This window comes from Homo sapiens, chromosome 10 (genome assembly GCF_000001405.40).
Source record: "Homo sapiens chromosome 10, GRCh38.p14 Primary Assembly".
NCBI classification, from domain to species: domain Eukaryota; kingdom Metazoa; phylum Chordata; class Mammalia; order Primates; family Hominidae; genus Homo; species Homo sapiens.
The window spans coordinates 20,891,421-20,914,498 of NC_000010.11; the positions used below are offsets into that span (position 1 = coordinate 20,891,421).

At 37.3% G+C, this 23,078-nt stretch overlaps 1 protein-coding gene across 17 annotated transcripts in view; it reads right to left on the bottom strand.

The window, feature by feature from the left end:
* NEBL (nebulette) overlaps positions 1-23,078 on the bottom strand; it is a 513,078-nt gene that overhangs the window by 111,448 nt on the left and 378,552 nt on the right. For 5 of the 17 annotated variants that reach the window (XR_001746995.3, XR_242691.6, XM_005252342.6 and 2 more), the window contains exons 1-2: positions 5,705-5,891; positions 5,538-5,609 (exon numbers count right to left, since the gene is read on the bottom strand). The exons of 10 other annotated variants lie outside the window; for them this stretch is intronic. Coding sequence is in view for 5 of the 7 variants with exons in the window: in XM_005252342.6 (XP_005252399.1) it covers positions 5,538-5,609; positions 5,705-5,785 (153 nt within the window). In the remaining 2 variants the exon portion in view is untranslated. Of the gene's footprint in view, positions 1-5,537; positions 5,610-5,704; positions 5,892-7,957; positions 8,031-23,078 lie in introns of those variants that run through there. 2 more of the 17 variants (XM_047424443.1, XM_011519291.3) reach the window with 1 other exon arrangement.

A 23,078-nucleotide genomic window follows, 5' to 3' on the forward strand; every position in this document is an offset into this window, starting at 1 on the left:
AAGTATCTCCGTTATATAATTAAGTGTGAGAGAAAATAGCCTATCATTAGGCTTAAGTTTGACTCATTATTTTTATCTTTTGCCACCATCTATTCCCCATCACATTCACATTCTTCACTGCAGTGGTATGTGCTTGTGGCTACAGCCTCCTGATAAAGTCTGACACATGCAGAACGTTCAGGACAGGAGGACTGGATAAGGGTGAGGTATTTACTTCTTCTGTTAGGCAGACAAATAGCTCAGTCTTAATTGTAGACTCTATTTTTTTTTCTTGGGTCTTTATTAAAAAGATACACATATTTGTATATTTTAAATGAAGGTGTATTTAAAATTTAAGATCCTTTACAATTGTACAATTCAAGAGAAATTGTACAATTTGTTAGAAGTCACACACAATCATGTGTGATTTCAAGTGAATTGTGCAATATGAATGACAATAAGCAAAGAATGTTAGATTTTTAAATACATAAGGAATATTTATATAAATATTAGATACATATTAGTAGCCTTCCTACACCAAGATAACAGGAAATGATCATTGAAAGGGAACTATATTGGTCAATGAAACAAATCTTAGGTAAAATAAAAATCACTGAATAGATTGCTATATTTTATTACAGCCATGTCTACATCTTACAATTTCGGGTTGACACCATCTATTGGATAGACTGGCCACTCCCATTATCTCCTATTAAAAGAGCCCAGATGGATTAATGAGAGCAGCCAGGCTCCTGCCCAGCCCCAGAGGACAAGCTGATCTAAACCAGGCATGGTCATGCCATCCAGTGTTTGGCCTGGGGAGCCACACTCTCTGTGACTTTAGTGGAAATCTTCCCAGAAGTGCTTCTAGTGTTTCTGGTACAAAGGGAGAGATGCTGCACAACCCTGTGACATTCTGTCTTCCACATTTTTCTTTCTCAATCAAAGGGAAGGCAGCAGCAATGATGTCATTACCAAGGAATAAGCCACCATACTAATGACGACAGAATAGAAGGAAAGGAGCCTGGGAGACTGATAACACCCATAGTACCCAGCCTGAACTACCTACCTCCGGGCTTTATATGTGGAGGCTGGGGAAACAAAAACCTACTTGTTAAGCCATTGTGTTAGAGTTTTCCTGTTTTTACAGTCATCTGCACTCCTACCGAATACACAACCCAACACCAAAAGACAAAAAGGGCAAAATTGATGACTTTATGATCATTAAGATGTCCCAAACATTGACCTTCTCTTTTGCCCTCACCCACAAATCCCACGTCTCCATTACAATTAGGATGAATTTAGTGCAGGGTCGCTTCCTCCTCCTGGCCAAGTTTGTTTGAATGAGTATGAGATTAGCTAAAGGCTGAAATCGGATGACAGACATGGAGATGTTTGCGGATCTTTCCTTTCACAAGAATTCTTAACTGAAAGTATCTGGAAAGGCTCTTCACAAGTGAAATCATACAAGTTAAATTCAATACACCCTGGAAGGAAAAACAATGGCTCCATCATTATTTAACTGGGCTGGACATAGCTAAGATCACTCTCCCAGGTTTTCTGATACCATCTAAGCTTTCTCTGGAGGAGTAACCACAGAATTTAATGTTTTTGGCATTGAAAGGATTTACCCACAACAACGTTCATTTGCCTGGAAAATATTCTTCCTGCTGCCATGCAGATGAACACCCTAAACAGCCTTGAACTAAACACTGAGAGGCTGCATGCAGATGTGGTCCACCTGCTCTGCAGAAGGCTCTTTCTGCCTAATCTACAAGAAACATACAAAAGATTCCCTTTTGCCCAATCTTTTTTATGACTCCCCATCAGAAGACTACTAGATCCAGGATTCTGAATGCTCAATAGAGAGGATAGGTTTAACTTATTCAAGGGATTGATTAGATAATGTTAGGTTAGACTAACAGGAATAAATATGACAGAGAGAATATCTGTGAAAATATATCTGAGAAAATAATAGTATTATGTGATTAACAGAAAAATAAAAGAGGCTGCCTCAGAAGACCAGCTGTTCTTCAAGACTGGGAAGTGAGTTGTGCAAAGAGGAACCCCATAATGTGGGTAGAGCAAGTGCAAAGCAGAAACTAGGTGGGGGGAGAAAGAGAAAGAAAGAAAAATGCCTTATACTGATGCCCAAAGTGAAGCCACTTGACCTGAAAAACGGACATTTCTCTCTATGGAGAATTCTAAGCAGTGCAGGCTTCCTAGGGCTGATCTCTAGGCCAATCTTGCTTAACATTTCTATAAAATTGTCTGACAAGGGGATGATATAGCAGTGTCTACAGGTCTGCTGACTCCAAGCTGTCTCAGTAAGGGAAACGGCAAACTGAGATGAACTTCAGAAGTTCTCAAAGGGCCAGGCAAGAGGGCAGAAAACTACAGATTAGATCTAGCCCTAGTGTGGTTAAAATAATTCAAACTATTATTTAAAGATGATGGGTCCTAAGCTATCAGCTACAGGTCAGAAATTAGGAATGAAATGGCTCTGATGGTCTACAGATTATCAAGCTGATCTAACAGCTTTCTGCAGCTCCCAAGTCTAAGAAACTCTTCATAGCATCATAAAGGGTGCTAGAAGCTAAGCAAAACATCATCCTGCTCTACACGTGATCTAGACCGTCCACATCTGTACCACTCTGCACAGTTCTGATTATTACATATTGGTTATTAAGGATATATGAAAGCTGGAAGAAGTCCAAAGAGTAACAATTAGGCTGCACCATGAAGAGAAGTCCATGAAACCATCCCTCTCATCTACAGAAACGAAGCAGGGCCAGCCCGGTGGCTCACACCTGTAATCCCAGCACTCTGGGAGAACGATGCAGGAGAATCACTTAAAGCCAAGAGCTTGAGACCAGCCTGGGCAACATAGTGAGACTCCATCTCTACGAAAAAGAAAATGAAAATTAGCCAGGCATGGTAGCACACACCTGTAGTCCTAGCCACTTGGAAGGCTAAGGCTGGAGAATCACTTGAGCCCAGGAAATTGAGACTGCAGTGAGCTGCAGTCACATGACAGAACTCCAGCCTGGGCAACAGAGTGAGACTCTGTCCAGAAAAATAAAAAAGAAGAAGGAAGGAAGGAAAAAAAGGAAGAAAGAAAAGAAGAGAAAAAGGAAAAAAATCTAAAAATTAAATAAGTATCTTAGCAAGTATAGAATTCTATTCGGAAGCAAAATGTGAATGTGTATACAGATATAAATTAAGCCAGAATAGGCCGGGCATGGTGGCTCACGCCTGTAATCCCAGCACTTTGGGAGGCCGAGGCGGGCAGATCACGAGGTCTGGAGATCGAGTCCATCCTAACTAACACGGTGAAACCCCGTCTCTACTAAAAAAAAAAAAAAAAAAATACAAAAAAATTAGCCGGGCTTAGTGGCAGGCGCCTGTGGTCCCGGCTACTCGGGTGGCTGAGGCAGGAGAATGGCGTGAACCCAGGAGGCGGAGCTTGCAGTGAGCCGAGATCGTGCCACTGCCCTCCAGCCTGGGTGATAGAGCGAGACTCTGTCTAAAAAAAAAAAAAAAAAAAAAAATTAAGGCAGAATAATCATGTCCTAAATTTAAGTAGTACATTCTACCATGCCACAAAAATCTGTAATAAACAGAAAGTATGCCTATCTGTTTCATTTTACCTACGTGGGTGTGAAATGTATGGATTTAGCTTTTGCATAATGATAAAGGCCACCACCCCTCACAACATGTTGGTTTTAAAGTCACTGATAGACAATCTTATCCAAAACAACTCCAACCAAATCACCTACTAACTACAGTTACCACTTTAGTCCTGATGGTTTATGTAACACAAGTTAGCTCAGCTATAATTGCACTTCAATAAAAATATATCAAAGCTGGAAGAGGTTAGGAACTCAGGGTTTTAGTTGGTAGCATTACTACTAATAATAGTAACATAATAATAATAAGGCGAAGAACAACATTTCATGGAAATCTACAGGGAGAGATAACTTGGCAGTGTAAAGAGGGAGGCCTCTGTGTTCAACTATTACTGCCTCTGCTTAACTGTGTGACCCAGGCAAGGTACTGAACCTCTCTGTGCCTCTATCTCCTCGCTTCAGAAATGAGAAAAAGCCTAGCGCCTACCTCGCAAGCTGCAATCCCTGGCACACAATAGTCACTAAATCTTAACTGTTGCCAATAGTGTTATTGTTGTTGTTGTTGTCATTGTCACTTATTATTACTGCAATTTACAGAGAACTTTCACATACAATAGCTAATGACTATTAAGTAATAGCACAAAGAAATACTTAATTTAAAGGGTAATTACATCACATGTCAAGTATATGGGAAAGGGTATGATTTCCACCAGCATCCTTTGTGCTTGCCTTCTGGTTTGTCAGAAAGAGCCAGTCATATCTAAATTGTGATTGGATGGATGTAAAAGGAAGTAACAGACAGAGTAGTTAATAACAGCTAACATTTATGGAGTACTCACAATGTTCCAGATAGTTTATTCAGCATTTATATGCATTACCATTATTTAATCTTATTATAAATGTTACAGCTGAGGGATGGAGCCAAGCCAGGTTCCATAACCTTCCCAAGGTTACTGGGGAGTCAACCCAGGCAGGTTGACTTTGGAGGATGTGCCAGACCACTACCCTCCTGCCCAGGACTGACTTCCGTTAGAAAACAAACGTGCAAAACATTCTGATCATTTTGCTTATTATCAACAACAGAAACAACCAGTATTGTGCTCATCTCTCTAAATGAAGACACAGGCACATATTCACTTTACAGGAGTTACCCTTTCTCTGGACCAGCAATCCTCTTAGAACCGCTAATGAGGATCATCTAAATTCTCATCCCTGGTGAGCAACATTTTTCCTTGTACTTCTTGAATTCTAGCTTACATATTTAACATAAAATTATATGTTCAATCATTCAATAATTCTGGGATTCCCTTAAAGTGTAATATCAACCAATCCCAGTTACTAAAAAATGTCACAACAAAAATACCCCTTGCACTAATATCCTTGCACTAATATCAGGGTTCTTAGCAAGCAGGTCAGTAATCAACAAATCCTGAATTGTAAATAAATATTATATGCATATATATATATATATATATATATATATATATATGCATTTTCCTGTTCTGGAAGACAAGTCCATTCATTAGATTGTTCAGAAGGCCCCAAAATGTTAAAAAAATGACTATTCATTTAGATAGAGGGCCTCCCAAGACAAATTACATCATTATATTCATTTTAAAATCTTTGGGGGTTCTCAAATGGAATAAATACTGCAATTCAATGCCTTATGATTTCATGCCAGCGTGACAGCAAAACTCATAAGGGACAGGATTCTGGATTAAGAATGAGGAGACTTGCTCTAGCAGAAATTCTCTGTATAGGTGACCTTGGGGAAATCACTGAAAATTTCAGGACTTTGTTCCATGATCTGGAAAGTGACTGTGTTTTAAAAGGTGATTTCAGGGTTTCCCCCACAGCTCTATGACTCTATAACATAATAATACCACAGGTGCAATGCAAAATAAGACAAAAATTACTCCAGCCACTTACATCGCTAATGAGTTCCGTGCATTTTCTGGCCAATTCCATGCTTAAGTCTTCAATAACAGGCTTATAGAAGACCTATTTGAAAAAAAAGAAAAGAACAGAAAGAACATTTTTCTCATTGTCAATTTAGAGGAACAAACGCTGGTCTGAGTATGTGTTTTCTCACTCACCTGGTCTTCTTCATTTTCTTCTTCCCCTATCTTTTCTTCTTCAGTTTCATCTTTTATATCCTCAAATACAGGGACCCTCATTTTTACCCTTTAAAATATTTATATTTTTAAAATTTACTCATGTGGCGTCCTTTTCCATACCACAGTGCCCTTGAGATGCTGACGTCTCTGGTGCTCTGGCAGAAATGCCCTTGCCCAAGCCTCAGCCCTATTTAGCCCACACTTCACTCCTTATCTCAGTGGTGTGTGAGTGAACAGAAAAGGATCCCAGAGGTCTACCAGGCTGGCCTCACAAGTGGAAATAACATATTCTTAAGCAAAATTTGATTTTATGAACTTTTAAAGTCAACATTTTTTCCACTGGTTAAGAAATCCAAAAGAAAAAATTTATTTATCTTTTACTAATTCTATTCATTCATAAAAGAGCATAAAAAGGACTTAGAGATTCTGGGAAAACTACTCAGCTCTAACACTCAAGATAGCACAGTCCAAAGCCTGTTATCTCAAAGATTCCTTGTCTCTGTCTAAATAAAGCTTTCACTGGAATGTCAGACTTCCTTCTGACTTGGGGTAGTGAATCTGGATCATTCAAACTCATTTTGTCAACCTAAATTATATGTTTTATCAGACATACCAGTACTTCTCACATCCTAAAAAATACCCACTTTATATTAGCTGATTAGAGGCTACTTATTTATTATGAAAAGCCCTTTGAACCACTTCAAAGAATCTATTCTGAGTTAATTATGACTGTTAGTATTATACTGGCGAGTATGGTATTGTATTAATTGTAAACATCATTAAACATGAGAAGTTGCAGTTAACATATGTTGATACATAATTTAACAATTCTGGAAACATCGTTTCAAAAATCATCATCATCATCTTTGAATTCTGCAGTTCTACTCATCATGTCAATTTTTACAAAGTCATTGGTGATTTGCATTATTACTCAATGGGCACCCCACATTCAGAAAAGTTTGGAAAAATAAACCATCACAATATTTATAATGTAGTGTATGTCCTTGGTTACGTAAAACCAAGGTTAAAAAAAAATTTCTCAAAACAAATATTTTAATGTCAATTCAGGCAATTCCAAGACTCCCTACAACTCACAATTTATTAATCTGGTTATGTAAATCCTAGGGTAAATTAATTTTACCAAGTCATAGCACATTAGCATTGGGCATAAAAAATACCCTACACTGAATAGTAATACTGATGATACAAAATACAAATTTATTAAAAATAGTATGTCATTCTAAGTAGCCAAGCATAATTTTTTCTCTTGATATCATATCTAGTTTTCAATGTACTGTAAAAAAAAAATGCCTTGGCCTTACCTAAACTGAAAATCCTGACAAGAAAAACATTCTACACAGTCATCACGTATAAATTATTTCTGAAATTGTGTTCCATGAGGCAAAAGTTCCACAAAAGATTCTGGGGGAAAAAAGCAGGTTTCTTAAACAAATATGTTTGGGAAATCTGTACCCCAGTCTCTGTCCCTGCCACTTAGAGATCTACAAGGCATATTGACATACTAGAAGTTCTGAGAAGACCTTCAACCAAAAAACCTGCTTAGGCTTGCTTAACCTCGTGTTCCCCTGAACACAAACCTGTTTATCTCATCAAATCTAATCCAATTTAATCTAATCTACCTACCTACCTATCTACCTATCTTTTTTTTAATCATACCCACTACCCCAGAAAACTAACACTCCTCTGTGAAATATGACCGACTGCTTAGGGAAACATTGCTCTATTCTCCTAAAATGTTGTGTTCTAGAAGGAGCTGTTGGTCTTGAACTAGTTTTTGATACAGGCTAAATTAATGGTATCACATATCCTGTTCACCAACAAAATACCAAAAAGAAATTGCCTCAAGCATGCTGAACTTGGAAACCACAACTCTAAGATTACAGCCATATCATGCTGGCCCAGTGTAGTGGATTCCACAAGGACATTCCTTGTATATTTTATTTGTTCCGTAAAAGGAAAGAATGTGTGCATTCCAATTATTTCCCTCAAGTCCTCTGCTGGCCAGAAGACTATTCTAATATTCTATAGATCTATTACATTATCTTTATTTGGAAATAGGGAGGAGTAATTTCTGTAAACTTGTCTTGCAAATTTCTAGGAGTGTAGGGAGAAAATCTTGCCAAAACTGCCTGAGACACACCTTTTGGCTCATATTTGAGGAGACAGTACTGGTGTTACTCAGGGTGACACCTATTCCCCAAGGTGAATTACCTTCATCAGGCTTGCAGTGCAGTTATTTCTCATTTCCCATCACGTAATATGTTCTTAGGGACTCTTCACTGTGCTGCAAGAAAATAAGCTGTTGAGATTTAATGCACAAACTTTTGAAAACAAAAACCAAACACCACGTGCAATGTGAACACAAATTTTCCATTTGAGATTCTAGAATCAGAATTTCAAGCCAAAGGGATCCTTAAGAAATCAATACACCTAAAGCCCTCTCTTTCACAGATGACAAAATGAAGGCTATGAAAAATTATGTGTCTCATTTACAAAGCCATTCAATGAAGCACTAGGATCAGAACCTAACTAGAGACCTGTGTTCATTTGTTCAACAAATAAATGTTGTTATGCCAGGCACTGTGCTTGGTGTTAGAGATAGAATGGTGAATAAAATATTCTTCATACTAAGATAGAATTGGAAATAAAATACTCATCACTCAACACTTGCTGGATGAAGTCTTTAATGGATCGTTTGGCAAGCTAGAGACACCATTACTTTTGATTGAATACATCTTTTTTCCTCTCACCTATAATATAAAATTCATGCAAAGTTTTCTCTAAAAAAGTGTTAAGCCCTGCACTTCATCACAGCAAAGTTTTCTTGTCAGTAGCTCTAAAATATGACATGGAGAATATGAAGAAAGTGTTCCTCATGGACAGCTATCATGTTTCAAAATCCCCTATCGACTTTTCCAAAAACCAAGCTTAATGTATTTTAATAGATATTTTCACCTTGGGTTGCTCCAAAAGGCAAAATCTCTGTAGCTGCTCATAGCTTTTACTTATTGGGCACTTCTTTTATGTTGTTTACTTTTCTACTTTAGTACTCTACGCATGCCTTGATACAGAATGAGACCAAGAGACATCACTTATGGCTAAACTCTCAAAGTCCAGGTCTGGCTCTGCCATGTCCTCTAGGGCAAATTATTCAACCCCTCACTACCTCTAATTCTTCATAGTTAAACAGAAAAACTGAGTTGACAGAAGTTAATAAAAAGAAAGCACTGGCTGGGTGCGCAGTGGCACACGCCTGTAATCCCAGCACTTTGGGAGGCTGAGGCAGGCAGATCACAAGGTCAGGAGTTCGAGACCAGCCTGACCAACATGGTCAAACCCCGTCTCTAGTAAAAATAGAAAAATTAGCCGGGCATGGGCTGGGTGCGGTGGTTCACGCCTGTAATCCTAGCACTTCGGGAGGCCAAGGCAGGTGGATTGCTTGAGCTCAGGAGTTCGAGACCAGCCTAGGCAACATGGTGAAACCCCATCTCTACTAAAATACAAAAAAAAAAAAAAAATTAGCCGAGTGTGATGGCAGTAGATGGGATTACGCCTGTAATCCCAGCTACTAGGGAGGCTGAGACAGAAGAATCGCTTGAACTTGGGAGGCGTAGGTTGCAGTGAGCCAAGATCCTGCCACTGCACTCCAGCCTAGGTGACAGAGTGAGACTCCATCCCGAAAAAAAAAGAAAAAAGAAAAAAATTAGCCGGGCATGGTGGCACACACCTGTAATCTCAGCTACTCAGGAGGCCGAGGCAGGAGAATCACTTGACCCGGGAGGCGGAGGTTGCAGTGAGCCAAGATCGCGCCACTGCACTCCAGCCTGGGTGACAGAGCGAGACTCCCTCTTAAAAAAAATAAAAAGAAAAAGCACCTTAAAAATAGTGGAGCCCCTCACAAACACAAGCTTTTTTTCAACCACCAATAAAGGTACACAGTGATGTGAAAAACATTTGGCATGAAAAGGTCTTCTCATTCTCTGTGCCATTAATATCCTTTTAAAGTCAAGAAGGGCCTTCTGCAACTAGACAGCTTAAAGATAAGAGCTCACTTGCTTATTTATAATTCAGAAGTCTTCTGATCTTTTGATAGCTTGATGTTTACACGTAAGCAAATGTATTTCCTTAGCAACTGTCAGGTGGGTAATTCAAGTCTCAGAGACACAGCCGTGGCCAAGGGAACGTATCTGTGCCACCATCTGGAGTCGTGCAGTGCACAACTGTCTTCACCTTCCTTGAGGTCGCCTATGACAAGACTTTCTTGGTTTTTGACTGTTTCACACTTATTTCACTTTTTTCTCCTTTTTTTCATAATGATAGAACATGTACTTTTCCTCAACATGGTGATACATGATTTAAAAATAAAAATTTATAATAAACAATTAAAACAGATCCAAATTCAGTTCTGAGTGGGGGGAAAAAAGTACAGAGATAAACTGCTTTTCTTTTAACTTTAAAAATGAATTCAACATTTCTTATTATAAAATATTCATTCCAAATGGTTAGGTGAAAGAAGAATTTGTTTGCCTGATTTGTTTCCCTGCCATGATGGTTTTTTCACACTCATTTTTTGTTGCCTGGTTTTTGTTTTGATGACCGTCTTCCGGAAGGTTCCTGCTTCTCAGTTGAATCCCTAGTCATTCCATCTTTGCCTCACCTATTTACTCAGTAACTGGTATCTTCCCAGAACAGAACTTTACTGATGGACGAGGCAAGATAAATCATTTCTTGAAAGAAGAAATGTAAGCACTCTAGGACAATTTGTCTCCTTTATAAAAGAGAAGAGTTTTGCTTAATATTGGTCCAATCAACTTTTACAATTTAGAATTCATGAACATATTTTCTCCTTTTTAATAGCTATTTCATTACTCTTTAATAATCAGAAATCGAAAGAACACAAAGCAACCTAAACATGTGTCACCATGACCAAGTATGCTATTAAGATTTAATAAGGTGGCCGGGCGCGGTGGCTCACGCTTGTAATCCCAGCACTTTGGGAGACCGAGACAGGCGGATCATGAGGTCAGGAGATCGAGATCATCCTGGCTAACACTGTGAAACCCCGTCTCTACTAAACAAAATACAAAAAATTAGCTGGGCATGGTGGCGGGTGCCTGTAGTCCCAGCTACTCGGGAGGCTGAGGCAGGAGAATGGCGTGAACCTGGGAGGCAGAGCTTGCAGTGAGCCAAGATCGCACCACTGCACTCCAGCCTGGGCAACAGAGCAAAGACACTGTCTCAAAAAAAAAAAAATTTAATAAGGTATATTCCATATGTATATTCCCCTTTTCACAGATGTAGATCCCACTCACAAATGAGAGCTACATAGTTAGATGGATGTTGGAGGAAGTGAAAAACAAGAAACTGGAAATAGTATGGGGCACAACAATTTCCAGGTTGGGTGTGGTGGGGAAGCCCAAATTAAAACGATGTACTCTGCTTATAGAGGGGGCAGGAAAGTATTCTCAATGTCTACATTAACATAGCGCCCATTGAGCTGAAAGTCTTCGGTTTCATTTACAGCTTGAGACATTAGTTCAGTTTTCATAGCAATTAAGCTAATACCATGATCACTCCCGCAATCTTCACCACCAAGAGGAAGAAACCTAAGCTCTTCTTGGTCTGTATGTGGCTTATACCCAGAACCAAAGGGTCAGGCAGGATCAAACAGCTTGACTCCCACAGAGTGTCCCTTTCCTAGAGTTTTATGTGAGATGTGTCAGGAATAATTGTGAAAGACTTTGAAATGGGCACATAGAAAACAAATTACTGAGTGTTCCCTTCAGGACTATACTGTTCTTTCATTATCTTTGAACTACTTCACGATTCCATAAACTGTTGAAAACTGATAAGAATGAGAATGATTCTTATCCATAGAAATGCAAATTATAGTAGCCCCCAGACCTTATCCATAGAGGATGTGTTCCAAGCCCCCCAATAGAAGCCTGAAAGTGCAGATAGTATCAAACTCTATACATATTATGTTTTTCCTATACATACATACCTATGATAAAGTTTAATTTATAAACTAGGATAGTAATGGCATGAAAAGACATTTCTCAAAAGAAGATATACAAATGGCTCACATATGAAAAAAATGCTCAATATCACTAATCATCAGATAAATGCAAATTAAAACCACAATAAGATACGGCCTTACCCTGGTCAGAATGGCTATTACTAAAAAGTCAAAAAACAATAGATATTGGTGTGAATGTGGTGAAAAGGGAACACTTATACACTGCTGGTGGGAATGTAAATGAGTAAAACCTCTACGGGAGACAATATGAAGCTTTTTTAAAGAACTAAAAGTAGAGCTACCATAGGATTCAGCAATCCCACTACTGGGTATCTACCCAAAAGAAAAGAAGTCCTTATATCAAAAAGACATCTGCATGTGTTATGTTTCTCACAGCACAATTCGCAATGGCAAGGATACGGAACCAGACTCACTGGACATCAACCAATAACTGGATAAAGAAAATGTGGTATGCATACACCACGGAATACAACTCAGGCAGAAAAAGAACAAAATAACGTATTTTGTAGCAACTGGGATGGAGATGGAGGCCATTATTCTAAGTGAAGTAACTCAGGAATGAAAAACCAAATACTGCATGTTGTCTGTCACTCATAAGTGGCAGCTAAGCTACTGGTATGCAAAGGCACATAGAGTACTGTAACGGCCAATGGAGACTCAGAAGGGAGAAGGGTAAGGGATTAAAATCTACGGATTGGGAACAATTACACTACTCAAGTGACAAGTGCACTAAAATCTCAGACATCAACATGATAAAATTCATCCATATAACCAAAAACCACTTGTACCCCCAAAAACCATCGAAATAAAAATAAATTTTAAGATGTCATAGCAAGAGAACAACTAGTAATAAAATAGAATAATTATAACAAAATGCTATAATAAAAGTTATGTGCATGTGTTCTCTTTCTCTCTCAAAGTATCTTCTGCTGTACTGACCTATTTCCAGACCTTAGTAACTGAAACCTCAGAAAGGAAAACCATAGATAAGGGAGCATTACTGTAGCTGTGTTCTTGGGAAGGCAATTGAGTACTGTCCATGAGACAGACCCTTTTTGCACCTATTTGTAAATGCATTTCAGCATTCCTTACTATGCATTTATATGTGGTTCTTCAGATTCACCTTTGAACCAACTGTAAGGTCTTATGGGTACCCTCATTTATTAATGAGTTAAAAATCTTTGAAACGTGTTTATGTTTTATGAGAGTCATGACTTTACCACTTAAAAAATTCTTTAATGATGCAAGTGATTTGATTACCCTCATTTCTTTAACATTCAGGAAAAATAGAAAGAAAAAAGGCATTACTGGAGAAAGCCCACCTCTCAATTGTGAAATTTAGCTGTAAAAATTTCTAGCATTTATTGATATCAGCTTTTGGTTTTGTTTTATTTTCAGGTGGGGTCTCATTTGACTACTGGCAAATGTCACATGTGTGCTTGTACATATGTACATTCACACATGCAACACACACACATGTAACAAGCAGAGTTAACTCACCACAGCCGCAAGTTCTTGCTTGAAAAGCATAAAAGGCTTCAGTAAATGCAATGACTTAATTACTTCTCACATCTGGAAAAACTTGAATATGAGAGTGGATTTATTGAAGAAGCTCTTTGCTTGGCTGTCAACACCGTATCAAGAGCCAGAAAGAGAGCAGGCTTGATCACTCTTGGCAATTCTTTAACCCATTCAGAGATAGATGATCTACCAATTAATTCGTAACATGTCCTGTTTATGTGATTTATGAATTTTATGAAAACACAGCAATGTAAATAGTTTCCTAGTAATTTATGGAGAAAAGCTGTTTTTGTCATGTTTCTAGGAGGAAAAATATCACACATTAAAATGGGGAAATAATGAAGAAGTTTTTACATTCAAGGAAACAAAGGAAAGGGTTTTGGGGGTTGTAGAGCATATTGCAAACAACCATTAGAACTATAACTTACACAAACACATGAAAAACTAGATGATTTGGCACTTTTTGGAGAAAGTGTAATATAGTGCTCCTAAAAGGGAATAGGAGATTTATATAAGCCCATAGCAAGAAGATTTAGCAGAAACCAAGTGTATTAGCCCATTTTCACATTGCTATAAAAACATACCCGAGACTGGGTAATTTATAAATAAAAGAGGTTTAATTGACTCACAGTTTTGCATGGCTGGGGAGGCCTCAGGAAACATACAATCATGGCAGAAGGGAAAGCAGGCACTTCTTACATGGTGGCAGGCAAGAGAGAGCCAGCAAGAGCAGGGAAAACTGCCTTATAAAACCATCAGATCTCATGAGAACTCACTCACTGTCACAACAGCAGCATGTGGGAAACTGCCCCCATGATCCAATCACCTCCTTCCCTCAACACATACGGATTACAATTGGAGCTGAGATTTGGGTGGGGACACAAAGCCAAACCATGTCACCAATAAATGACCAGATCTCCCCTAGAAAAGGATACTGAAAATGGAATTAGTCAAAATGATGATAAGGCATCCAAAGAGCATTTGCAAAGACCCAGAGACAAGAGTTGAAAGAACCAAAAGTTCTATGTCACTGGAGCAATACAATAGGACAGAGATGAGGGAAGGAGAGGAGCTGAGGACCCTTCAGCCTCCAGGATGTCAGGGGAGAGCTACATGACGGAAATGTATAGAAATCACTTATCCTAACACAAAAAGCTGAAGTCAGTTTGAACCATGAAGCCTTTGCAGTTATAACAATTCCTAGTCAATTAACTGTGGAAGCAGCACTACCACAGCTTCTCTATTCCCTTTATGTGCCTTGAACATAATTTTTCCTTCTTCAGGTTATTGTTTGCCCTTCAGAATACTCTTTGTGTATGTGGACTTTATGAAAATTCTTAGTGAAGAAAGTGTTTCCAGATTTATGAATCTTTGGAAGAAAAATATTTAAGGGAAATTCATTCGTATTATGTAGACCCTGAAATAAAATTTATGTTAAATGTGTTTATACATTTCACACTTTTACATTTCTATAATTACAGCTTTATTATTAAAATGCACCTCTTTTTTCTATTATTTACTAAACAAGTGATGTCAATGTTCCTTCTCAAACCTTAAGCATCAAGTTACTAACACCTATGTTCACTGAGGAATCCTTCTTCCTGAAATCATGATTTCATCCCACTTTAAGCCAGGGAAAACAATACTACTGATGCTCAGAAGTTTGGCACTTTTAAAACACTAATTTATGAGCCTTATTCCAATTATTTCCATGGAGCTTTTCCATGTTTAACTTAAACTATAAGATAATATCAAAATAAAATTATAATTAAAGTAAATATATCATTAAAACAGCTATGAAGTTAATGATGCTTTAAAATAACTGGTACTCTCTGAAGAGTGAGAACTAGTTTAACGTATATTGGGGTGATTTCTCTCTGAGGACTTTATCTTCTTTATTATTTGTGTGAGGGTGTGTGTTGGGGGTGTGGGTGTGTCTATGTTCATTCAATCATTCACTCATTTGTTATACCAATGAATGAAGATGGACATGAATGAATTATAACAAATATAATTCAACAAATTTTACTTGTTAATAAGTTCACAAATGTTTCTCGTGTGCATTCTATGGGCCAGGCCTCATGTTAATCTCTCCAGTCAACGAACAAAACCAACAAAAATCTCTAACTTTCTCTCCTATTTCAATCATACATTCATTTATGAAATATCTATGATTATCTACTTCATACTACGCACTACAATGAGACATGTTATATTTTTTCCTACTAAGTCTTTAAAATCCTGTGTATTTGAACTTCACAGTTACAGCACAACTCAATTCCAACTAGCCACATTTTAAGTGTTCAATGGTCAGATGTAGATAGTGGTGACCATGTTGGACAGTATAGCTCTATAGTAATGCTATAAGACTGGAAATAATTGGCTATTTTTCAATTTGATCATATATACCTTAAGCATGGAAAAAACCTTTAAAATTACATTTAAGATAATGATCTCAGGGTCTTAATAAGCAAGCAATAAAGTCTACAACCTGATTTTAATTTCCAGACCTGTCTAAATAAGTCTTCAGTGTGGAAATGTATTTTATTAAGGGTTTAAATTTTTATTATAAATAATGAATTAATTTTTAAAATTATGTTTTAATTAAGTTTACCAAAGGTGTATTTTCAAAATGCTATCTTGTTTCATTAATGAAATGACGTAAAGTCCCACTAGTTTTCAGGATATTCACCCTCTAATTTTCTGTCTGATACATACTTATATGACTGAATAATAAACATTCGATAATTCTCTATCTAAATAGCAAAAAGTCCAAATAGTGAAATATCTTCCATCGATACTCCCATTTTTACCTCAGATAACCGAATTTAAGCAAACCATTCGTTCATCACATTGGCTAGGTAAGTCCTTTTAAACAATATTGTGAAGTAATGTCACCAGGAAGTATATGAGATTTTTAATAAAGAGGTTGGCATCTCATGAAAAGAACCTAAGTTTCACTGAAACGAGATTTTCCTATTTTAAAAGAAATTTAAAAATTTTCAAGTGTTCAACAGAAAAGACCTTCATCAGTGAGGAAAAACACAGTATTTCTGATTTCTGCTCCCAGCAAATTCATCTCTTGCCCTGACAGAGCCAGCACAATTGGTACTTTAAAACTGCTGGAATCTTGAATAATATCCAAATGCAATGAAGTGCTTCGAATCTAAAAATACTGTTGTGCAGAATGATATTCAAGGTCTTAAATTTTATTTGTGTTATACCTCATCCAAGCTATGCTGACATTTTTTGGGAAAGAGGAACTCCATATAAAAATGATGGGAGGCAGCCATGAAGTCTTCGAAGTTCTTGAACTCTCCACTGACCTATACCAGGTACCGAGAAAAGGTACCAAAGGATGATCACTGCATGCCAAGCACTGTGCTGTGAGCTTTATATACAGTAACCCATGTGATCTTCAGACACCCATTTCACAGATGAGGTCACTAGGATTTAGACTGATAACTTGCCCAAGTTCTCACAGTAAGAGATTCATACCTAGATCTTACTACTTACTACTTCCAAATCTGCTAGGCCATAGGGCAGTAGAACATTGAATGGATGGATGCTTTTTATTCCTTTCTGGTAGTGATATTACTTTCTCTCATCTCCTTCAATTTCCAACTTCAAAGGAATTGTCATTACGGATGCTTATATAAAGGAAGAGTAGTCCTTGTGGTATGGAGACAATCTGGTCCCTGTGATCAGTGAAAACAAGCCCCCATGGGCGTTAGAAGCAACAGGAAAGGCAGGCCATAATGAAAGCATTATGAGGATCCTTGATCTAGCAGGAACCTAATTTGAGGAGCTTTTCCTGCTTTTCATTCATTAAATGGCACATTTATGAGCAGTAGTGAGCTGGCAAATGTTTAACAATCAACTCTCTCAGGGTTTATATTTTTTAATTAAGAAATAAATTTTTAATTAAAAAACAATCTCTGCTCTGCAGCATAATCATGGAGTCGGGAAGAGATGAACACACTCTGCTCTGGTAAGCTGATAGCAGCCAGCGCCACACAGCACTGTGAGTAACAACAAAAGCCTATATCTAATGTTAAATGGACCAAGAAATGCCAATCAACCTGAGGCTAATCTTCCACATTTTTAAATGGGCATTTCAAGGTATACAGTTATGCCCTGCTGCTATTCTGTTCCTTACCTGTATGTTGATGTACTCATTCTAAATGGTAAGATTTCAAACTTATTTGTGCTACACTTTTTGTACTGATCACCAGACACTGAGATCATAAAATTTGTGTTTGTGGCACTCTTTTTTTTAATTTTTAATTTTTTGGGTACACAGTAGGTATATATATTTATGGGGTACATGAAATGTTTTGATCCAGGCATACAATGCATAATAATCACATCATGGAGAATGGGGCATCCATCCCCTCAAGCATTTATCGTTTGAGTTACAAACATCCAACTACACTCTTTGCATTATTTTAAAATATACAATTAAGTTATTATTGACAGTCACCCTGTTGCTATCAAATAGTAGGTTTCGTTCATTCTATTTTTTTTTTTTTTACCCTTTAACAGTTCCTACCTCCCCACCACCACCCCCACTACCCTTTCCAGTCTCTGGTAACCATCCTTCTACTCTCTATGTCCATGAGCTCAATTCTTTTGATTTTTAGATTCTATAAATAAGTGAGAACATGCAATGTTTGTCTTTCTGGGTGGCACTCTTAATAATTTAGATGCCTCTAAGATATTGGACACACAAATGAAGCAAATGAAATGGAAAATACTTTTAAGAGGCAGATTTTCTTGTACCCAAATAGAGCCTGCCTTTTCTACATAGCTGTCTTCACACCGAAAAGGATTAAAACTTAAAATTTTCTTTAAGTAGGATCTAATACATAAAAATTTAGAATATAGTAAATGCTAATTGAAAATAGTATTATAGTAGTGACTTTTATACTATACAGTCTCTGATTTGCAAAAAGCTAATGAAGATAATTTACAGAATAACTCAACAATTCTCTCAATTGGGATAGAGTATTAGGAGAAATTCACCATAAAATATTGAAACAATAATATATACAAAAGAAATACAGAATTGTCAGAGGAAACAATTTATACAATGGCTTTAAGTCTTAAATTAAGGAACCTAGTACAGCCCTGATCCAAAGCACATATAGTGATATATCTGCAGGAAAAAAAAAGTGTTTTATAGAATTATAATACTTGCCTAGTATCAAAGCTTAATTAAAATAGTGAATAAATATGTCCTTTGTATTTCACTGTGTGTCAGCAAAAATATCCCCTTTTCAGCAAACTTTACACTTAGGTAAAAATTTTGACATAAAAAAGATTCTCAGGGTAGGACTCTACTTTAAAAAGTTGAATTTTTTGGGCAGTTTGTCATGGAAAGTCTTAAAGCAGCTTCTCTGTGCTTTTCAGATGGATAGATTTAGAAGAAATGAGTTGAGGACATACTTTTTTAAAAATTATCTATATAGTTAAGCAAAATTGTCATTTTCAGCTCAAGGTTCATACAAAAGCAGTATTTCTTTTATATATGTTATCATGGCTCTGACAATTCTTTATAGTATTTATCTGCCATGATTTGACAAAGATTATAACTAACTCATGAGCTATTTAATCATGTAGCTTCCACTTAAGTTCCTTATGTTATACCGAAAAGTTAAAACACATGCATCAGATGTCATGAGGTTGTAGTCCACAATGACTGATGGCAGAACTGTATTCTGTTTTTTGGCCTGGCAGTAACACTACAACTGATCAGACAAGGATGACTAAGGACAGAAGAGATGTGAAGGCAGCTAAACCCTCACTGCATGAACCATGGTCAGAGAGACACTGTTTGAAAAGGAGCAAGCATTGGAAGGGCCACATTTGGGGTGGGCAGTGGAAAGCATGCAACACAGAAGGAGTCCTAAGACCTACCTTCAAAATCCCTACACTGTAAAAAATTAGACCAATCTTCCTAGTTCTAAGATTGTATGATTACCAAATTTATCTACCTATCTACTAATCACCAGGGTACAAGGAATTCAAAGACGAAAACCTCATCTATTAACAAATTCTTTTGTCAAACCACTTTTTTTGTTTGGTGTTTTTCGTTTTTGTTTTTTTTTTTTTGGCCAAAGGGGGATAGGAGTAACCTATGCTAAAGAGTAGGCACTGGCCAGGCATGGTGGTTCATGCCTGTAATCCCAGCACTTTGGGAGGTCAGGGTGGGAGGATGGCTTGAGTCTAGGAGTTCAAGAACAGCCTGGGCAACACAGCAAGACCCTGTCTCTAAAATAGAAAAACTAACTGGCTGTAGTGTTGTGAGCTTGTAGTTCCAGCTGCTCGGGAGGATGAAGTGGGAGAATTGCTTGAGCCTGGGAGGTGGAGGTTGCAGTGAGCAGTAATTGTGTCACTGCACTCCAGCCTGGGCAACAAAACAAGATCCTGTCTCAAAAAATAAAAACAAAATATAAAGAGTAAGCAAAGAGTAAGCACTGCAGTAAGTCCTTTACACATCTTATCTCATAAAATACTCATAAACTCTCTGGAAAGTAAATTCTATCAGGATCCCCAAACTGAAGTTCAAAGTTAGCATGAACAAACTTAGAATAAGATCTTCTATGTTGATGTATACACCTGTTGTGAGCATTCAACACAGTTAAATGTATATACCCGTTGTGAGCATTCAACACTGTGAAAATGGCTGAAACCCACATTTTAAAACTCTCTTTGTATTATGATTACATTTCAGAAACTAACCAGGTATGCCTGAATGGCCAATAAAGTATAGGACATTTATAAAACCTACTACCATACACATCAAAATATTTTTAACTGTTATAAAACCATAGTCTTCAAACAACTACAAGGACATTCTCATAGTCTAGTTTTAAAACTAGAGCATTTAACTCAAGTACATATAAATAAGAAAGTATAAGTGGATTTTATATGTACATAAAATAGGGACATATTCCCAAGGCATGGGAAATCATCAGTGATGTAGCTATCCTTAGTGTATTCATGACTATGTGTTCCAAAATCGATATAAACATCATCAGTGGGAAATTAAATTCTGATAGAGCCAAGAGTATGACTTTGAAAAGCTTTTAAGCATTTATCTCCACAATGATCTCATGAGGAGTTCAAGCTTGCTTTTCAAGCAACAACACCGTCAAAGGCTCTAAAAAGCAGATATTTATCATAGCATTCAGTCTGTTGCAAAAATTTCTTGGCAGTTTGACTCAATATAAGAAAAATAAGTTTTCGTGTCATCGCAAATGGGGAAATAAATTATTATCTTAAACACCACCTTTATCTCCCAATTTAATTAACATTCTCCCTCTTACGGTTATAATAACTTTTCTTATTCTTCACACTAACACTATTTTAGTTTTTCTGCAAATATGAATGTAAATGTAAAAACATGAAAATGACTTTTAAAAATAAACTAGATAACCAACACAACTATTTTTTATATTGCTTCTGTTTTATAGTTTCCGTTGTATTACCATGTCTCAGAGGAATGCTCACAGACGTGGCTTGCAAGAAAAGCAAGTCAATGGCATTGCTATGTTTGAAATAAAAATGCATTAGCTGGGTGTGGTGGTGTGTGCCTGTAGTCCTAGCTACTCCAGGAGGCCGAAGTGGGAGGATCACTTGAGCCTAGGAGTTCAGGCTGCAATGCGCTACGATCGTGCCACTGCACTCCAGCCTGGGTGACTGAATGAGACCTTGTCTTTAAAAACAAACAAACAAAAACAACTTACAGTATCTCAACACAAGCTTTCTTTTCTCATTCTTCACATGTTATCTGTTGCTTTGTTTACATTTTTAATATCTCTCAAATCTTTATCAACCACTTTCATGAATCCAGTATAAGTCTTTATCTCTTGCCGGCCTCTAGGTCATTTTGCAGACCTGATATCTTGTTCCTCTCATTTCAGCATTTCCTACTTACGTTGCACCTAGATTACTCTTTCTGTATTGGATTTGTATGTCACTCCCCTGGTTAAAACGTTGTGACTTGAGATTTCTGAATGAATTATATACGCAGTTGTTGGCTTGACATTTGAAGCTGTCTGCATTCTGCCTTTCCTTCAATCTTTACTCCTTCACTTTCCCTATGCCATGCTGAACTTGTTCCTCATGGGGGCCATAGTATGCCAATTCTTTTTTTTTTTTTTTTTTTTAGACAGAGTCTCTCTCTGTTACCCAGGCTTTAAGGTTTTTGGTAGACACAGGGTCTCACTATGTTGCCCAGTCTGGTTTCAAGCTCCTGGCCTCAAATGATCCTCCTGTCTCAGCCTCCCAAAGTACTCATATTACAGGCATGAGCCACCATGCCCTGCTGTAAATTGTTTTGAACAGAGGGTGAAATAGGCTTAGGGAGGAACATACTGAGTCTGAAATAGAACATCCAGGTGGAGGATCAGCCATCAGTGAGAGCTGCACAAAGGTCATGATTAGAGCATTGACTCAGCTTAGAGAAGGGAGTCAGAGTTCAGACAGCCACAGGCAATTCCTAGAGTAAGTGAAGAGAACAATTTTGAAAGGCACCTGCTGAAGAAAAGCAATTATTCATTCCTAAAAGGCACTGCCGATCCTTCACATTGAACATCAGAAAAGGTACACTCCTGAAACAAGGTCTCCTGTGGGACAAAGAAAAACTCTATTCTGTTTCTTAATAATTCTCAAAAACCAGACCACTTTAATGGAATGCTTCATTAAAAGTACTTATTAAGAGATCGTTACGTGAATTAGGAACTTGGAATATAAAAATATTTATTATCTGCATTAAGAGGTTTTAAACATCTTTGATATATTGTCTGGTTATAAAAATGAAAAAATGTTCAGTTTACTGGAAATAGCAAAAAAGTACAAAAACCAAGTGTACGAAATATCGTATCAGGAATTGTTAAATTTTATCAGCTGCTTTTCCAGCATCAGATGGTATATTTGACTTTTTGATCAATATCAATAGCATATTAATTTTATTATATTAATAGATTTCCCAGTATTGAATCACCCTGCATTCTTGGGTTAAATACTATTTGCCTGTGGTAGGTTGTTGAATGAATATGATCTTATAGTATTTGTTTATACAATCATATATATGAGACAATGAATATTTATGCTCATGTACTGGAGCCATTTATGTTCAAAAACTGGAGTTTTCTTTTTCAGGCTGTTAGCCTTTTTTGTGCTCAATACCAATATACATATTTTGGAAACGGTCATTCTTGAAAACAGGATAGACTCATCAATAGAGCTATAGCAGACATGTCAATAAATTCACCAGTGCAAACTACACTCAGGTTCAACCTCCTCTGCACAGACTATGAATCAATCACATACCCTGATTATCCACCCACAGCTCATCAGACCAAAAGCAGACACTGCACTTGAGGAGAGGAAACACACTGGTCATTTGGTGACCAATGAGAATGTGTTTTGCGCGTTTGAACTAAGAGACATTTAGCTGTGGATAATTCGATGTCAGTAAGTGCTGGAGCTAAATGCTGGGTAAATTCGGGTGGGTCGCTATTATTCAACTATATACAGGCTAAGAAAACGTGTATTTGGAGAAAAGCAGAGAACAAGAGCCATAGAAACCTTAAAAGATACAGTGAACAAGATTTGCTTTTTAATGACTTCACAGTTTACATGAAGTCCAGCCTTACTTACTGCAAAGGTTTTCTATGAGATTACCCTCTATGTTTCCTATAAATCCCTTTTCCCTTTAGTCATTCCTTGGAAGCAAACATTCCTAATACAATATTTATCAGG